The 17,730-nt window shown below is 41.4% G+C and overlaps 1 protein-coding gene across 2 annotated transcripts in view, besides 2 other annotated features; it reads left to right on the top strand.

Annotated features, from left to right (window-relative positions):
* RBM17 (RNA binding motif protein 17) overlaps positions 1–14,436 on the top strand; it is a 28,414-nt gene extending 13,978 nt beyond the window's left edge. For both annotated transcript variants that reach the window (NM_032905.5, NM_001145547.2), the window contains exons 4-12: positions 1,920–2,086; positions 3,130–3,227; positions 5,675–5,731; positions 6,975–7,116; positions 9,199–9,350; positions 10,497–10,570; positions 11,038–11,136; positions 12,228–12,300; positions 12,442–14,436. In NM_032905.5, the coding sequence (NP_116294.1) occupies positions 1,920–2,086; positions 3,130–3,227; positions 5,675–5,731; positions 6,975–7,116; positions 9,199–9,350; positions 10,497–10,570; positions 11,038–11,136; positions 12,228–12,300; positions 12,442–12,545 (966 nt within the window). In that variant the 3' untranslated portion in view covers positions 12,546–14,436. The remainder of the gene's footprint in view (positions 1–1,919; positions 2,087–3,129; positions 3,228–5,674; positions 5,732–6,974; positions 7,117–9,198; positions 9,351–10,496; positions 10,571–11,037; positions 11,137–12,227; positions 12,301–12,441) is intronic.
* Positions 4,799–5,494: an enhancer, noted in NCBI's record as "H3K27ac hESC enhancer chr10:6149773-6150468 (GRCh37/hg19 assembly coordinates)". NCBI's record gives its function as "activates a minimal SCP1, AML or CMV promoter by ChIP-STARR-seq in primed H9 embryonic stem cells {active_cell/tissue: H9 hESC(primed)}" and the evidence as "EXISTENCE:reporter gene assay evidence [ECO:0000049][PMID:30033119]".
* Positions 12,881–13,081: a silencer, noted in NCBI's record as "peak861 fragment used in MPRA reporter construct". NCBI's record gives its function as "represses an SCP1 promoter by STARR-seq MPRAs in K562 erythroleukemia cells {active_cell/tissue: K562}" and the evidence as "EXISTENCE:reporter gene assay evidence [ECO:0000049][PMID:32103011]".
* Positions 14,437–17,730: the final 3,294 nt, after the last annotated feature.

A 17,730-nucleotide genomic window follows, 5' to 3' on the forward strand; every position in this document is an offset into this window, starting at 1 on the left:
GAACTCCTGAGCTCAAACGATCCACATGCCTTGGCCTCCGAAATTGCTGAGATTACAGGCATGAGCCACTGCACCCGGCCCTCTAATGAACATCTTTACAGAGATGTTTCTATGTAATTAGGGTTATTTTCTTAGATTTTCTGAGGTGGCATTAAGATATCAGCCATTTTTATGGCCAATCTGTTCTGGCACCAGTTTACTCCCAGCAGTGCACAGTATCACCTCAGGCATATGAGGGTGAATTTTACCCCATCCTCCCCCCTCAGCATTGAGGGTATTAACATTTTAATTTTTTTAAATTGAACAAATCACTTTATTCATTGCAGCATTTAGAAAAGGATGATTGATTTCATTGTTAAGCATAGCAGGGTTTATATGTAAAAGTTTTTTTCTTTGAAATTTTGAAGTGTCAGAGAATGAACCTTCATATTGACAGTTTGTTCTCTTAGACACGTTGTGATAATTGTGTTAGATAAATTGAGTGGCTGGTTGTCATTTTCTCTCTAAATAATAACTGAAAAGAAATCTTCATGTGCTTTTGTATTTTTTAAATGTCTTTTATAAAATGAATACAAATGTATAACTAACCTTTAGGAGCCCTACATTAAATACATTTTCCAGTGGGTAGGGCCTGGGAGGTGATTATAGTTATTTTCCTAATTGCTCTTATTCATTGGATCATAGCATTTCCTGATATTTCGTCGTAAGGAAATGGTGAAGTGTTTGTTTTATAGTGCAAAATGTCACACCGAACCATGAAACACAGGAACTGTTCGATTTAGGTCTGTTAATATGGCGTGTAAGCTGTCTTGATTTTGTCAGTTCTGTGTTCAAGCAGGAAACACGTTTACAAACGACCTTCTTGCCTTTGATACAGTTGGACATTGTACCTCCTGTAAGAGGTACAGACTGGGCGCTCAAGGACATGAATCCTTGTTGTTTTGCATGTGTGTTTTAAAAAAAATGGGGACACTAATCCTAACCTGTGCTTGTTTGAGGTGTCTTTCAAAACCAGAGAAGGCATCTTATTGTTACAGATAATAACGAAGAATTATGCTAAGAACACTAACAGGAGAAAGTGTGGGAAGGTTTAGGAAAGTGGGGTCAGGGCTTCCAGCACCACGTGTAGACCGAGGCTGCCAGCCTAGGGTAAAGTTCTGTGTCTGCTCATGTATTTCCTAGTATACTGGCTGTGCTCTGCCTCTCGTTTTGCTAATTTCTTTGTCATGGCTACCTCTTTTCTTTCAAAGAGTAGACCAAGTTTCTGAATGTATAGACGAGAAAACACGAAGTGTTATCTAAACCTGATTTTAGTGAACCTTAAAAAAAATTATGATGCTGGAAGGGACATTACATCCCCTTGTGTCAAACTCAGTGCCTGAAATGCAGCCTACCTGGGAAGGGACATGTGTTCAGAGGATTAGAAAGACCAAGAAGATGCTTTCTAAGATCTCCATATATTCTTATCTCCATGTAATCAGAATCTGAAGTTATTCTGTTAAAATGATGACTGCAAGAATGATTGTGGTGTTCATGGTTGTTTTATTTTTTAAGTTGTCATAGAGATCTATAAAAACAAGTATTCAGTGCTTTACTATAAGTATTCTAATTTTTTGACTCAAAGTACTAGTAACTTATATTTTAGCTGGTGGTGGCTTATTTAGGAATTCCAGGAAAAATGCCATAGAGTATTATAGAAATAGTACTAATCTAAGAGGTGAAATTTTGTGTCCTGTTTCTGCTACCACCTGACTAGGCACGTGGCCTTGTCTGGTATTTGTTTTCTTTGTCTTTAAAACAGAGGAAGGGGCTAGATGATGTTCAGAGTCCTTTTATCTCCCATACGCTTTGACCTGAATCCTGTGAGTAAACTGGTAAGATATAAAGAGGATTCTTACTGCTGTTTTTACCTTCCTCAGGATCCTGTTCCCAGTGGGTTTTCTGCAGGGGAAGTTCTGATTCCCTTAGCTGACGAATATGACCCTATGTTTCCTAATGATTATGAGAAAGTAGTGAAGCGCCAAAGAGAGGAACGACAGAGACAGCGGGAGCTGGAAAGACAAAAGGAAATAGAAGAAAGGGAAAAGTAAGGCTTCCTTTGGATTTGGGGATATTTTACAGTTGAAATGTTCATTAAAATGTTAACGAATGAGCGTCGCTGCTGTCTGTAAGGCTGAAGTTAATTGTCATGGGTGATCTGAGCAGTCACTACAAGGAATCAAACTGTTTTACGATTTGTACCTGTTACATCTCAGAATCACAGCAAACTTCACCTGTAGACTGAAGACCTAAAGTGTATATTTTGAGTGAGTTGTTAGAAAAATAACTTATAAACCTGATGTTGAAAATTTTTTTCTATGCTGATACTCTGCTATAGGTTGACTATCCCTTATTCAAAAATCCGAAATCTGAAATGCTCCAAAATCTTTTGAATGCCAACATGCCGCTCAAAGGAAATGTGCATTGGGGGATTTTGGCTTAGGGATGCTGAACTGGTAATTGTAATGCAAATATTCCAAAATTTGAAACACTTCTGGTCCCAGGCATTTGGAATAAGGGATTCTCAACTTGTAAAATCACAGCTATTTAAAGTACTTGAAATATTCTTCTTAACTTTACTATTTTTGAGCCAGGTGGAATTTTTAAAAATTCATATGCAGCTTTTATTTATGTTTTTGCAAAGTACGAGTAGTAGGATGTATTTGTAGTTCTTTTTAAAAATATTTAGTATTATCAAATAGTTAACATGTATTAAATATTAATATACTGTTTCCCATTTATTGAATCATTTCATGAGTGAAAGTGTTATAGACTATTGAAATGATTGAACTATTACTATGTTGATAGGCTTTAACATTGGAAGAGGTCAATGTCAAGGAACCTTTTTTTTCATGCTGGTTGCTCTCGTATACTTATTGGTTCAATTTATCTCTTGAATTTTTCTCACTTTTCATACTTTTATCTACTTTAGTCTTTTACCAGTTATGCTTCCTACCCCCTCTACCCCTGCAACTTCATAGTTGATTGTGACAGGATTTGGATATCTTCTGGTCAAGAGGAAGTCATCCCAGGTTCAGGTCTCTAAATTGGTTCATCTGTGATGAACATTTATTTCCTTTGTTATCACAGAAGGCGTAAAGACAGACATGAAGCAAGTGGGTTTGCAAGGAGACCAGATCCAGATTCTGATGAAGATGAAGATTATGAGCGAGAGAGGAGGAAAAGAAGTAAGGCATGAACAAATATGTCTTAAACATATATAAATACTGGAAGTGCAATTCCACTATGTGCTTTTTCTTTTCAGTTTGATAAATAGTTCATTTGACATTGATTTGGGTAATTTTCTTTCTGGAATCCCAGCAATACACATTTGCGTCACAGTTTTAATTTATATTGGGTTTTCATATGTATTTTCCTTTGAGCTTCACAACCACTTTCTAACATTTATTTATTGGATACTTTGGGACTAGCTTAAAATCTATTCCTGCACTGTCTTTACCTGCAGCACAGTCCAGTTGGCCGATGCTGAATCCACTCTGTTGTTTCTCTTAGGGGGGAAGCATAGTTAACATTGAGTGTGTCTGTTTTGGGCATTGTGACACATTTCATATCCGCTATCTTAGTTAATCCCCAAATGTTTGGTTTTTATTAACTTCTTTTGGAATTCAGTATATAGGTTGAATATTTGTAGGTCTCATTTTTCCAGCTTATAAATTGACTGCCCTTTTTAATAAGGAGGCATGCTTTCCATACTAAGGACATTTGTTTTTTTTTCTTAAACACCAGCAGGAACTAGATAGCTTTGAATGAGAAGACTTTGTTTGACCTTGTAGCTCATGATAGGGAGGTAGTGGCATGCCCATCATATGTATAGTTGTTGACAGATTGATGTTCTTATTTTAATGTGATTAGTAGCAGATTTCCAGTAATCACCCTGAATTTTTTTAACTGAACTTATTAGAGCTAATCTGCTTTTCAGAATCAGTAATCACTCTAGGTCCTAGTGACAAGGTTAGTAAAATGATCATGGAAGTATTTCAAAGGAAATAGAAGAAGGTTTTACTCAGGTTCATATTTCTCCTTGAGGATTTTATATCATCCAGTCCTGTTAATCAAAATGCATGGACACTGGCTTTAGAATAATTTCTAGAATAATTCTTTAGAAGAATGAATTTATTTATTTTTGAGATGGAATCACTCTGTTGCCCAGGCAGGAGTGCAGTGGTGCAATCTCGGCTCACCACAACCTGCAACCTCCTGGGTTCTAGCAATTCTCTTGCCTCGGCCTCCAGAGTAGCTGGGATTACAGGTGTGCGCTACCACGCCCATCTAATTTTTACATTTTTAGTAGAGACAGGGTTTCACCATGTTTGCCAGGCTGGTCTCAAACTCCTGACGTCAAGTGATCCACCCACCTCAGCCTCCCAAAGTCCTGGGATTACAGGTATGAGCCACTGCACCCGGCCTCTTTTTTTTTTTTTTTTTTTTTGGAGACACTCTTGCTCTGTTGCCCAGGCTGGAGTGCAGTGGCGCCATCTCGGCTCACTGCAACCTCCATCTCCTAGTTTCAAATGATTCTTCTGCCTCAGCCTCCCAAGTAGCTGGGATTACAGGTGTGTGCCACCATGCCCAGCTGATTTTTGCATTTTTAGTAGAGATGGGGTTTCACCATGTTGATCAGGCTGGTCTCAAACTCCTAGCCTCAAGTGATTTGCCTGCCTCAGCCTCTCAAAGTGCTGGGATTACAGGAGTGAACCACTGCGTCCAGCCAGAATAATTTCTTTTGTCAAACATTTTGTGCTGATGCAGCATGACTTTGTAATCAATTTTTAAAGTTTTACATTTTGTTTTTATTTCATTGTTGATTAAGCCATAATACATATGTATTATGTAATATTATGTATACGTAATCCATATATGTTAGGACTTATGCCTAATGCAAAATTCCTTGTGGTCTCCACTGATGTTCTCCTTCCAGTTGTCGGATACCAGATAAAAAGATCTGTCTTATCTCTTTTGGTTTGTTTGTGTTCACCATTCGTTGTCCAGGAAATACACCAGGAATAGTGACAACACGCAGCAGTTTCTTCAGGAGCCAGAAGGACCCACGCTTTCAAATATGTGTTTAGTTCCAGTGGTTTGCACACTGGAAAAGGAGCGTGCTGTGTGGTGGGGGAGATATGGCAACGCAGGGAGCTGGGTTTACTCCCTTTCTGTTGATTCACTCCCCTCTGATCATTCTCTTATTTGTAAACTGGATGCAGTAATATCTACTTCAGAGGTCTGTGAAGCCTGAACGAGGCCATGTGTATAAAGGGCCTAATGGGTATTGCTCTCGGTAAATAGTTACATTACTCTCTTTTTAAGTAACTGCTGGTTCTCTTGGTTGTATTGTTTTGCCTTAAAATTCATTTGCAGACTACATTGTGGGGCTCTTGAGTTCCTTTTATGAAGGAACAATTTTGCATATCTGAGGGAGTGTTGCCACTTTTCTACATTTTAAATCCTAGCATCAGAGGTTTGTTCATATGTAGCAGGAGGTCATCTGAAGTAGCAGGTCCTCCTTTTTTAGTTTTTTCTTAGGGGGGTGGGTGATAGATATATGGTGTGTCATAGTCGTTTGGGAGTCTGGCATCGGAAACCTCCTTTAATGCTTGGATTTGTGGTTTTGCAGGTATGGGCGGAGCTGCCATTGCCCCACCCACTTCTCTGGTAGAGAAAGACAAAGAGTGTAAGTAGATCTGTTTCTTCCTCTTTTATTCTGATACAGGTCTTTAACCCAACCATGGGGGATCTCAGCTTGGGCCCCCAGGTTTCCTGAGCGTAGAGGGAAACGGCCTGCAAGCCTGCCTGGCTCTGTCACCTGAGGCCGCACCTGGATCTCAGAATGCAGCGCCCTCCTGCAGAGAGAGACCTTTCTACGCCAGGCTCTGAGGCTTGGATTTCATGCAGTGGGATCCATCTCTTTTTTATGCAATTCACTTTGATTTCATTAACATTTCTTATTTGTTGTTAGATTCATTTGGAGTTAAAACAGCAGATCGTTACAGTTTTTTAACTCAGAGGTTTAGAGGCTGTTATATTCATGATCCTCCACAAGGTGGCAATGCCTTCCTTGATTAGATTTTTTCTTCCCGTTCCATTTCACTGCAGGTGGGTTTGCGTGTCATTGCGTTGCCAAAACACCCTCACCCACTGTTCCTTCTCGCAGTGATCTGCTCTAGAATTTGGGGGTTGGGACTGGACTTCTGAATATCATCTAGGTCATTTTCCCATTCTCTGGATTGGACCATACTTAAACTATCCCAAGCAGATATTCTCATTTATAGTACTTTTTAAAACTTGTTGAATTCTTTATCTTTTAAAGAAGATAATTTCTAAGATATTATGAAATACCTATTATGTGAAAACAACAGACAAACAATAAACCCCAATTGAAACTAGTCTCTGGGAGTGGGGCTCAGGCATCTGGATGGTCTTAAAGCGTCCTACTGACTTTCATCTAACTAGGGTTGAAGCCACCGCTCCAGTGCGTAGCCCCTAACCTCGGACACCTTTGTGGGCCATGAGCTGATGAGATAGTGAGGTCGGGGTCTAGACAGGTGCACCCAAGTTACTGCAGGAGTCAAAAGATGGCCAGATTGTATCTCCTTAGAACATACAGAACATCTTTCCGGCAAGAATATTCATTCAAGAAGATTTTAAAGGGTGAATAACATTTCAGTAAGATATAAAAAAGACGTTTGAGGAGATAGAAATAGCAAAAGGAAAGTTAGAATCAGGAAAGTAGCGTCCTCCCTCTGTGGTTTTAAAAAAAGTCGTATAAAGGCTGTAAAATTGATTTGGTGTTTTTCTCTCCTTGTGGTAAACCAAAAAGTAGGTTAAATTTGTTCAAGATAAATAATTGATACAAGTGAGGTTTCAGAGTGTTTTCTATAGTATTTTGGTGAGCCTACTTTATTTTTCTCCAATAGTACCCCGAGATTTTCCTTATGAAGAGGACTCAAGACCTCGATCACAGTCTTCCAAAGCAGCCATTCCTCCCCCAGTGTACGAGGAACAAGACAGACCGAGATCTCCAACCGGACCTAGCAACTCCTTCCTCGCTAACATGGGGTAATGATTTAATGTTCTTATCTAAGGACTTGAGAGACAGTGTGAAGCGTTGATAGCCCTTTCAATAGATGCAGCTTGTTTGAAACTGAGGACATTCAGGACCCTTGGTGTGTGCAGGTCACACGGTACCTGCCTCAATCGTGTGGAGCGTGTTCCAGTGTAATGATGGGGCTTGTTCAAAACAGCAACCTCCCAGTAGAAGTTTTGACTCATTTTGATGTTGAACATTATTTTCCTAGACAGGCACAGAACCTGATTAATGTTTACATTTGCCTTCATAACGTTTGCAAATAAAATAGCTCATATGAATCAGAGCTGACTTACTGTCTCCAAAGGGCAGGTGATACCTTTTTTTTCCTGATAAAGTGGGCCATTTGCTTTCAGGTCATGGTTCTAAACCTTTGGTCTAAAAAACTCGGGGTCATTCTAACTACAAGTTGACATGTTTGCCAGCATATAAAATTTGACTGTAAGGCTGACGCTCAGGTGGGGCTTGGGGATTTTTTTAAACTGTGCTGGGCTTGGCAAACATTTTGGTTAAGAGGATATTCTGTGTTGTTGACTTTGATCCTGTGAGACGGCTGTCCCATGAAGCAGTATCACATGAAGGCTTTGTTCTGTGCTGTGTTGCATCTGCTGGCTGCTGCCTGTAGCAGAAATGCAGCCGGTGAGACAGTGAGTGGGGTTGAAACTCACTAGTCTCCTTTCAAGTGCTCAGTGACCACATGCAAGTGGTGACGATGTTGGATGGTGCAGACATAGGACATGGCCGTGGCTGCAGGAAGCTTTGTGTACTGGAGGGTTGGACAGACATGAAGCTGGTTTTGTTTTGTTTTGTTTTGTTTTCCCTGTTTATGATAAAAACTGACTTTTTAGCGAATTTGCTTTTAACCAGGAATTACATCTTTAACTTGTGCTTAGGAAAGATGCAAGATGGTACCATTCAGCAGTTTCTGGTCTTTTTAGCCCTAGAATAGCTTGTTCAAATGAAAATGTTAAGGGAATTAAATACAAGAAGTAATGTAGGTGCAGTTCCAGTTGAAGCGGGATTTTGTGGCTTAAGCCCTAAGCAGCAGTGGTCATGGGGTTGGGGTGCCCTTCAGACCCATGCTGCGCCTCAGAGCGCAGTGTGAGAGCCATTTGGTTGTTACAGAAAGCAGTGACTGAGAGTTGTGGGGTCCAGTTTCAGCTCTACCATTAACAGCTGTACAAATAATTTATTTGTTTTCTGAGATGGAGTCTCGCTCTGTCGCCCAGGCTGGAGTGCAGTGGTGCGATCTCGCCTCACTGCAACCTCTGCCTCCCAGGTTCAAGCAGTTCTCCTGCCTCAGCCTGCCAAGTAGCTGGGACTACAGGTGCACACCATCATGCCCAGCTAATTTTTACATTTTTAGTAGAGATGAGGTTTCACCATGTTGGCCAGGCTGGTCTTGAACTCCTGACCTCAGGTGATCCACCCGCCTCGGCTTCCCAAAGTGCTGGGATTATAAGTGTGATCAACTGCACCCAGCCTGTACAAATAATTTCTAATATGGCGTCTTGCATTACTTCTAAGTCCACCCCTTAAGCTAGTCAGCTAATCTTGGCCTCCGTTTATTTCTCATTTGTTAAATAGGTGATCTCTAAGGGTTCTTTCATTTGTATAGTCTGTCATTGGAAACTCTCCTGTGCTATTTAGGAAAATGGGATCATCTTCATTGTACGAAACTTCATACTTACTTTTTGATAGCCACTTTTTAATAAACTGTGGTCATAAGCTATGTGGCAGTGCAGGTCCGGAGCACACAAAAGGTCTTGTGTTTCCTAGCAGGGCACTGAGGAGACTCCACCAGAGAAACTGACATTTCCCCTCCAAGACAACAGGATGTTCTGGATTTTATTCATAGCTTTTTCTATTTCTTTCATGCTGCACATCCCCACAGCTTCCATCTAATAGCCCACTCCTAGTTAATGAGTGACTTTGTTGAAGCCCCTGTGGAGCATGCACTCTCTCCAGAAGGAGGTTGTTGTGATGGAAAAATGCAACCTATCTCCAGTTGACGATGTCAAGGCTAAGAGTCCTTTCCCTTCTTCTCCTGCCAGGGGCACGGTGGCGCACAAGATCATGCAGAAGTACGGCTTCCGGGAGGGCCAGGGTCTGGGGAAGCATGAGCAGGGCCTGAGCACTGCCTTGTCAGTGGAGAAGACCAGCAAGCGTGGCGGCAAGATCATCGTGGGCGACGCCACAGAGAAAGGTGTGTCCCCAGGGAAGCGTGTGACTAGAGGGAAAGGACTGGCCCCATCCATATCAGACATGGCCAGTCTTGATCCTCATGTGTCAGCAGGGGGACAATGAGGCGTGTGGCCAGAGGGAGAGGGCTGGCCCTGCCATCACTAGAACACAGGCCGTCCTGTTCATATGATGCACTGCCACTTCCGTTTTGTGAAACCAGGAATCCTGAGGCTCATCTTTATTTTTTCAGAACAGACGTAGAGAGATGAAGGCTTGTGGAGGAAAAGATGGTGAGAGACTTGGGCAGAAAATGAGTAGTCCTCAGGAAGAAATCTTGGTTATGTGTTTAGAGCATGAAGGACAGAGCCATATAGTGTGGCAGTGAATATACCTGCTATCTCCATCTCAGAGGTCGTCTCTACTTTTCCCTTTTGCCCTTTCAGTATAGATGTGATTTCTGATTCTCTTACAGATTGTTTGCTTTGCGAGATCTGATGTTATGTTGCAGTCTCTTGGTAAATGATGCCTAGTTGGTGTTTTATTTTCATTTAATTTTTACAGTCTGTTCTGTGTTGAGGGAATTCAGGAAAGAGACAAACATATGTTAGCATTTTAATCAGGGAATTAAGTTTGAGTCAGCCTAGCTGAACTTCCTTTGCTAAAGAAAGAAGAAAACTTTTCTGGCAGCCCCGTTCATGCACAGCTTAGGATACATCACGAGCCTGACAGGTGAGTGCCAGAAACCAACAGTTGTCCCGACTTGTGAGGTTATCTGAAGTAAGGCAGCCGGTGGCTGGATTAGTAACTGCATATTCCCCTGGGCCCGTGACCTTGAACGTTTGCTCCAAGTCAACTCACCTATAGGAATTATCACTCACATGCCCTGTCAGCCCTTTGGGAAGTGAGATGAGCAAAAATTGCAAGTAATGGTGGAGGCTCAAAACATCCAGATGCTATTGTAAAAACATGCCAAAGCAAAGCAGAGGCTTTTATTGCAGATAAGGCTGTGTTTTCGCTCAGAGACCAATTGTGTAGATGCCTAGGACATAAATGGTGGGGATCGCTATTGAAATTAAATTAATTATTGTAAGTAGGACTCAGTTCTGTAACACATCTAATGATATGCTGCTCAGTTCTGTAACACATCTAATGGTATGTTTTGATACAGATGCATCCAAGAAGTCAGATTCAAATCCGCTGACTGAAATACTTAAGTGTCCTACTAAAGTGGTCTTACTAAGGGTAAGAAGCTGAGGAAAGCAAGCTCTCTGCCTGCCTAGATTTGTGTGTGTCACCCCAGCCTACCCTGCTCCCCCTAAAAGTTAAAACTGAAAATGATACTTTTGCAAATAATACTTTGGGCAGATCCCACGTAAGGCTGATTTTAGATTTTTCACTAATGTGTAAGTCTCTTTGCTAAGTACAGTGTTTAAGACTGCAGTGAGTAATTAAATATTTGAAATTGCTAGAGCTTCAGATAGTTTATACATTTTGGTGCTTGCATAGATGCTTTTGTAACTCTTTACAGGCTTAATATATGTTTTAGTGTTTTAAGAAATACTAACTTTTGGGTACTTTGGGGATGAAATTTTTCATTATGTCGTTTGGGATTGAGAACATTTACCATCACTAAGTCATATTTATATACCTCTGCTAGGTGTTTGTAAGTTATACTTGGTACTTGAATTTGTTTATTTTTGTGTTTAAAGAACATGGTTGGTGCGGGAGAGGTGGATGAAGACTTGGAAGTTGAAACCAAGGAAGAATGTGAAAAATATGGCAAAGTTGGAAAATGTGTGATATTTGAAGTAAGAGTGTTTTCTTTTGATGTTTATAACACAAGTTGTAATTGGCACATTACAAAACATTTTCTACAAACAGGACAGGGTATGCTATAAGTAACATTCTTACTGCAGAAGGTGACAGGCGTTGGTTATTTGTACTTCTCTTGCTCAATTATTACAGTTTTAAACATAAAGACAATGATTTCAAGTTTTATTTGATGAAGAAACAGGAATGCTTCATGATTGAGGATCAGTATGATGACTGAAGACCTTGATTCTAGCGTGCTCAGTAGTTTAGTTCCTTAGACATGCCTTTGGTTTCAGTCATTTGGTGAGTATTTAGTGCCTCTCACATGCACTGCACTGTGCGGAGAGCACTTGGATTACAGGAAGCATGCTCTGTACTCTCAGTGGTGTGTTCAGTTGAAGAAACACATAAAATAACTGAAAGATATTCAGTTACTAGACTAGGTAGTATTGACTAAGTTCAGGAGTTGAGAAAAGGATTAGATCAGTGAAAAAATAGACTGCCTTGTGAGCAATAGCAGATATGGGCTGCGCTTTGAAACGAACAGGTGGGATTTGCAGGGAAGGGTATTCTGATTGGGATAATGGCTCGTAGGAGACAGTGAAGATCAGGACTACCAAAATGGAATGGATGGGCCTGTTGGGGATTAGCAGAAGTGCTTAGGTGGGTGGAATTACAGAGGGCTAGGAAAGCTAGACAGAGCTAGTCAAAATGAGACCTGATGTGAAAGGCCACTAGGGCACCAGCCTTTTTAATCTGAAAGCTCTGCTTCCTCTGTTTCTTTATCCTGTTGCTGTTTGTTGACCACATAATTATTTGTTTACGTCATCAGCTGGCACAGGGCCTTTATGAGGTCAGAGACTGCCTAGCCCTGTGTTCCTGGCACCTAACAATGCCTGTCATAAAAACAGGCATTCAGTACGTTTTTGATGATGAACAAATTATACTTATTTCCTTGGTATTTGACAACTACTTGACTGTATATGATGATAATTAGAATATCCACTCTGAGAAATCATTTAAAAGAGAAAACTCATTCAATGCAATCTCAAATGCCTTTACTCATCACGCTCTCATTTTCTTCCAGATTCCTGGTGCCCCTGATGATGAAGCAGTACGGATATTTTTAGAATTTGAGAGAGTTGAATCAGCAATTAAAGGTTAGTGGTACAGCTAAATATTAAAGAATAAAAAAGTTGAATTTACAGCCTTAATCTTTACAAGTAAAGTTACTGTTTAATTAAAGTTAAACCTTTATCTTATAGGATACCTGTATTAACTGTCTTTTGTTTGCCTTTCAGCGGTTGTTGACTTGAATGGGAGGTATTTTGGTGGACGGGTGGTAAAAGCATGTTTCTACAATTTGGACAAATTCAGGGTCTTGGATTTGGCAGAACAAGTTTGATTTTAAGAACTAGAGCACGAGTCATCTCCGGTGATCCTTAAATGAACTGCAGGCTGAGAAAAGAAGGAAAAAGGTCACAGCCTCCATGGCTGTTGCATACCAAGACTCTTGGAAGGACTTCTAAGATATATGTTGATTGATCCCTTTTTTATTTTGTGGTTTTTTAATATAGTATAAAAATCCTTTTAAAAAAACAACAATCTGTGTGCCTCTCTGGTTGTTTCTCTTTTTTATTATTACTCCTGAGTTGATGACATTTTTTGTTAGATTTCATGGTAATTCTCAAGTGCTTCAATGATGCAGCATTTCTTGCACTAAAAAAAAAAAAAAAAAAAAAACTAGAAAGTTTTGGGACATGGGGTTATATTAAATTATTCTTTGTTTTTCTTTTTCTTTTAATAAAGCCTGCAAGTTACTAAATTGTAGTTTCATAAATTCTGTAGTAAAGTATCATCTTGGCAGTGTGCCAAAGGTGAAAATGATGCTTTCTCTAACAGAGAAATTCTTAGTGACTCCAGTCGTAGAAAAACGTCTTTACAACCTGAATAAGATTGAAGAATTGTGAACATACCATGGCCTATTGGATGAATCATTTGCCGTAGGCTAAATCAGACTGTAGGGTTTGTGATGGATTTATGGAGTATGTGGGTATAGAAATCATGAATCTAGCATTTGTTTTCAGAGATTCAAGCATAGTCTTAAGGGTAGATCAGAAATGACAAATGAATTCAAAACCTAGCAGGTGCATTGTAAATGTGTGCCCAGTTATGTTTTGGAAATGGCAGTTCCTTGGGGTCATGTTTCTACTGGCAAAATTTGCAATAGTGTTCTATTGTATGTAATTTTAAAATTTATAAGATTATCCACGTTGGCCAAGTAAACTGTACTGCCAATAGAATTCTGGAATTGTGAGAAATTGTATCATTGAAGTTCAGTAGGATGTGTGGCTTAAAAATTTATCAGGACCACAAAAAAGAAAACAAAAATATTTGGTACTGAGGTTCATTGCCAGGGCAGGAGGTATTTCCAGAAAATACTCATGCCTGTGTTCTGTTCCTTGCTTTCCCAAATACTGCATGTGACTTTCCTAAGCGGCAGCTGAAAGACTCGAGCCCGTGCTGTCTCCTTTGGTTATTATGACATGAAAGTGTATCAAGAACTCAGCATTTCTTTGCATCCATGGACTTGGTTTGGAGACATAAGGAATATTCTGACCCTTTTTAAAAAAGGATTTTCTCATGTTTTTATTTAACATAAATAAAAGAATAACATTTTATCTTTTGTGGTATTATTTTATTGAATAAAATTGAGTTTTATGATAAAAGTGCACCTGTTCTGTAAAGTAAGTTGGGGTTAAGGAATGTGAGGTAAATTACATAATTGAACATTGTGGAAGACAGAATCAAAAGCAGCCCTGGAACTTCAGTTATCTATGGAATTAGGCATACCATTCCTCAAGTGGAAACCATGTTTGTGCTTACAAGTACCGGAGTGTGCTTGTTTAATTTTAGAAACTAATGGTTCCAACCCACCTTTCATGCATGCATTTATTGTTGTTATGCTTTGTAAAACATTGTTTGCACCTAAATGGGTGGCTTTTCCTAACATTCTCATGGTCAGCAACCAGAGAGTTGCAACCAACTCATACTACTTGATTTCCGTTCGCATGAGGACAGCTTGGTGTGTGCCTTTCTCCCCAGTCTTTTATTTTTAAAATAACTGTGTTAATCAGTTAGTGCTTTATTTATAATGAATTTCTGATAGTCGAATAATTTCTAAATCTCCTGCAAGTTAGTACTTGAGAAATTTGAAATTAATTTTCAATATTAACATTTAAGCTAATATAAAAATTTTAAATTTCAATAAAAATTAAAAATTATGTAAGCTACAATGTAACTGGCAAGTTTCCGTGTAATAGACGTTTGTCATTCTTGGTGGCCCATCTGTGAGTTTTTGAAACCCCTTTTTCTTTTTTTTTCTTTTTTTTTTGAGACGGAGTCTTGCTCTGTCGCCCAGGCTGGAGTGCAGTGGCATGATCTGGGCTCACTGCAACCTCCGCCTTCTGGGTTCACGCCATTCTTCTGCCTCAGCCTCCCAAGTAGCTGGGACTACAGGCGCCCGCCACCACGCCCGGCTAATTTTTTGTATTTTTAATAGAGACGGGGTTTCTCCGTGTTAGCCAGGATGGTCTTGATCTCCTGACCCGTGATCCGCCTCAGCCTCCCCAAGTGCTGGGATTACAGGTGTGAGCCACCGAGCCCAGCCTGAAACGCCTTTTTCTGTGTGGGGAACTTCCTTGTTTCCCTCCTCCCCGCAAGAGACTAGAAACTTGCTTTCCCAGCCTGTCTTGCAGGTTGAGTAGGGTTGTGCGCTTGGGATCTCTGATCAGACCGGCACCGCAGTGTGGGAGAGAAGCTGTGTGAAGAGTCTGTCGTCTGACTTTGGCAAGGGTTCCTCTGCACAGTGTTGTGTGGCACTGGGGGCAGCAGTGGCAGAGACCTTGTCACCTCTGCTGGTGTGTGGTATCTGGCAGAGCAGTCTATGGAGGGGTTTGGGATTTTTGCTTTACATAAAACCTGCGGCTTGTCCCTGGCCTTTTCCTTTTTTTTTTTTTTTTTTTTTTTTTTTCTGAGACGGAGTCTCACTCTGTTGCCGAGGCTGGAGTGCAGTGGCGCGATCTCGGCTCACTGCAAGCTCTGCCTCCCGGGTTCATGCCATTCTCCTGCCTCAGCCTCCCAAGTAGCTGGGACTACAGGCGCCCACCGCCACACCCGGCTAATTTTTTGTATTTTTAGTAGAGACGGGGTTTCATGGTGTTAGCCAGGATGGTCTCGATCTCCTGACCTCGTGATCCACCCGCCTTGGCCTCCCAAAGTGCTGGGATTACAGGCGTGAGCCACCGCGCCCGGCCTCCTTTTTTTTTTTCTTCTTGAGACAAGAGTCTCACTCTTGCCTAGGCTGAAGTGCAGTGGTACAATCTCAGTTCACTGCAACCTCCACCTCCCAGGTTCAAACAATTCTTGTGCCTCAGCCTCCCAAGAAGCTTGGATTACAGGCATGTGCCACTATGCCTGGCTAATTTTTTTATTTTTAGTGGAAAAAGCGTTGCGCCATGGTGGCCAGGCTGGTCTTGAACTCCTGGGCTCAAATTATCTTTTTGCCAAAGTGCTGGGATTATAGGCATGAGCCACCGCACCCAATCCTTTTTTTTTTTTTTTTTTGGTAGATTTCTTTCTGCTTAAACAAGCTAGAGTGAATTTTTAAATCTGCACCTAAGACCCCTGACTGATAACAGATTGATAGCTGGGATTGCACATGACAAATCCTGAAAGATGAAAGATGGAGGAGGTAGGATGGGACTGGTAAGGACCCGGTTTCCCTGGGCTGAAGAACTGGTGAACCTCGTTACTTGGTGGTGAGGCATTTAGCCAAGCTGCTGCTGTTCCTTGGACTATAGGCTGGTGTTATGGCTTGCCTCGGCCTCCCAATATGCTGGGATTATAGATGTGAGCCACTGGCCTGGTTTTTTTTTTTTTAATGTACATAAATTAAGATTTAGTCGTGGCCGGGCGCGGTGGCTCACGCCTGTAATCCCGGCACTTTGGGAAGCCGAGGCAGGCAGATCACCTGAGGTCAGGAGTTTGAGACCAGCCTGGCAAACATGGCAAAACTCTGTCTCTACTAAAAAAAAATTAGCCAGGTGCGGTGGCGCATGCATGCCTGTAATCCCAGCTACTCAGGAGGCTGAGGCAGAGAATTGCTTGAACCCAGGAGGCGGAGGTTGTAGTGAGCCAAGATTGTGCCGCTGCACTCCAGCCTGGGTGACAGAGAGGGACTCTGTCGCAAAAAAATAAAAAAATAAAATGTATTCATCTTTACAGTATCACACAGAATGGCTTTAAAGCCCTAAGAAATCCCCTGTGCTTCATCTATGTAGTGAAATTTCCACCCTACTCCACACCTGCATTCCTGGCAACTACTGATGTGTTGACTGTCTATAGTTTTGCCTTTGCCAGAATGTCATGTAACTGGAAAGCACATACCATGCAGCTTTTTTCAGACTGGCTGCTTTTGCTTGGCAACGTGCCTGTCAGATTCATGCATCTCTTGTTGTGGCTTGATAGCTCGTTCTTTATTCCACTGTGCGGATGTACCACCATATGTTTATCCATTCACCTACTGACGGCCATATTGATTACTTCTAGTTCTTGGCAGCTATGAGTAAAGCTATAAGCATCCATGTGCAGGTGTTTCATGGACACGTTTTCACATTAGCGGGGTACATATTTAGGAGTGAGACTGCTGGATTACATGGTAAGACTTTCCTTTTGTCTCTCCCGTTTTCAAACTCTGTACTGGCATATAAATTTCCTCAAATCTCTCCCATCTTTAATGGAAATAGGTCAAACCTTGAATTTTTAGCCACTCCCCAACTCCCTGGTGTCCCCATTCTTCTCAGAGAATCCCAACATCCCGCCTCCACCTCCTTGCTTCTTACTGCCTCTTCCACTCAGCCCACACTTGCAGAATGAGGACTGCGTCGACTACAAATTAGACCTCTGCTTCCACCAGGCCTCCTTGATAGTTCAGCTAAGAGCCGTGCGGTGAGTCTCCTGACGTTTTATGGCACTTGACGCTGGTAACCACTCCCTTCCCGAGGACGGAGACCGCGGCCCTGCCAGTATCGCTCACGCTTTACCTCTTCCCAAGTGTTTTTATCTCCTTACCTTGGCCTTGGGCTGCTTCTGTGACTCACCTGTATTTGAATCTCAGCCAGTCTTCCTTACCAAACTTCAGATCTGTATCCAAGTGCCTATTAGACATCATCCCCTGGCTGTCCCCTTTGCACCTCAAACACATGTCCCGAACTTTAACTCACTTCTTCCCTTTCAAGCTCTCCTGCTAAACTCTCTGATTTGGGGGAAAGCATCATCTATTCAGTCATCTAACTCAGAAACCCAAGAATCACCCTCGATTCCTCACTTTCCCTTCTATCTAGATCCAGTCTGTAGTTGAGGACCGCCGGTTCTGTTTCTTTTCCATCTTTCATGGTAATACAGTGGAGCTCCTTCATTTCTGACCCCTTATCTCCTGGGAGTAGGCCCATGGGCTCCCGCTGGTCTCCCTGCTTTAACCGTGCACCCCTCTCATCTTCCAAGGCAATGCCTCAGCTGTTCAAGCCACT

This window comes from Homo sapiens, chromosome 10 (genome assembly GCF_000001405.40).
Source record: "Homo sapiens chromosome 10, GRCh38.p14 Primary Assembly".
In the NCBI taxonomy this organism is placed as follows: Eukaryota; Metazoa; Chordata; class Mammalia; order Primates; family Hominidae; genus Homo; species Homo sapiens.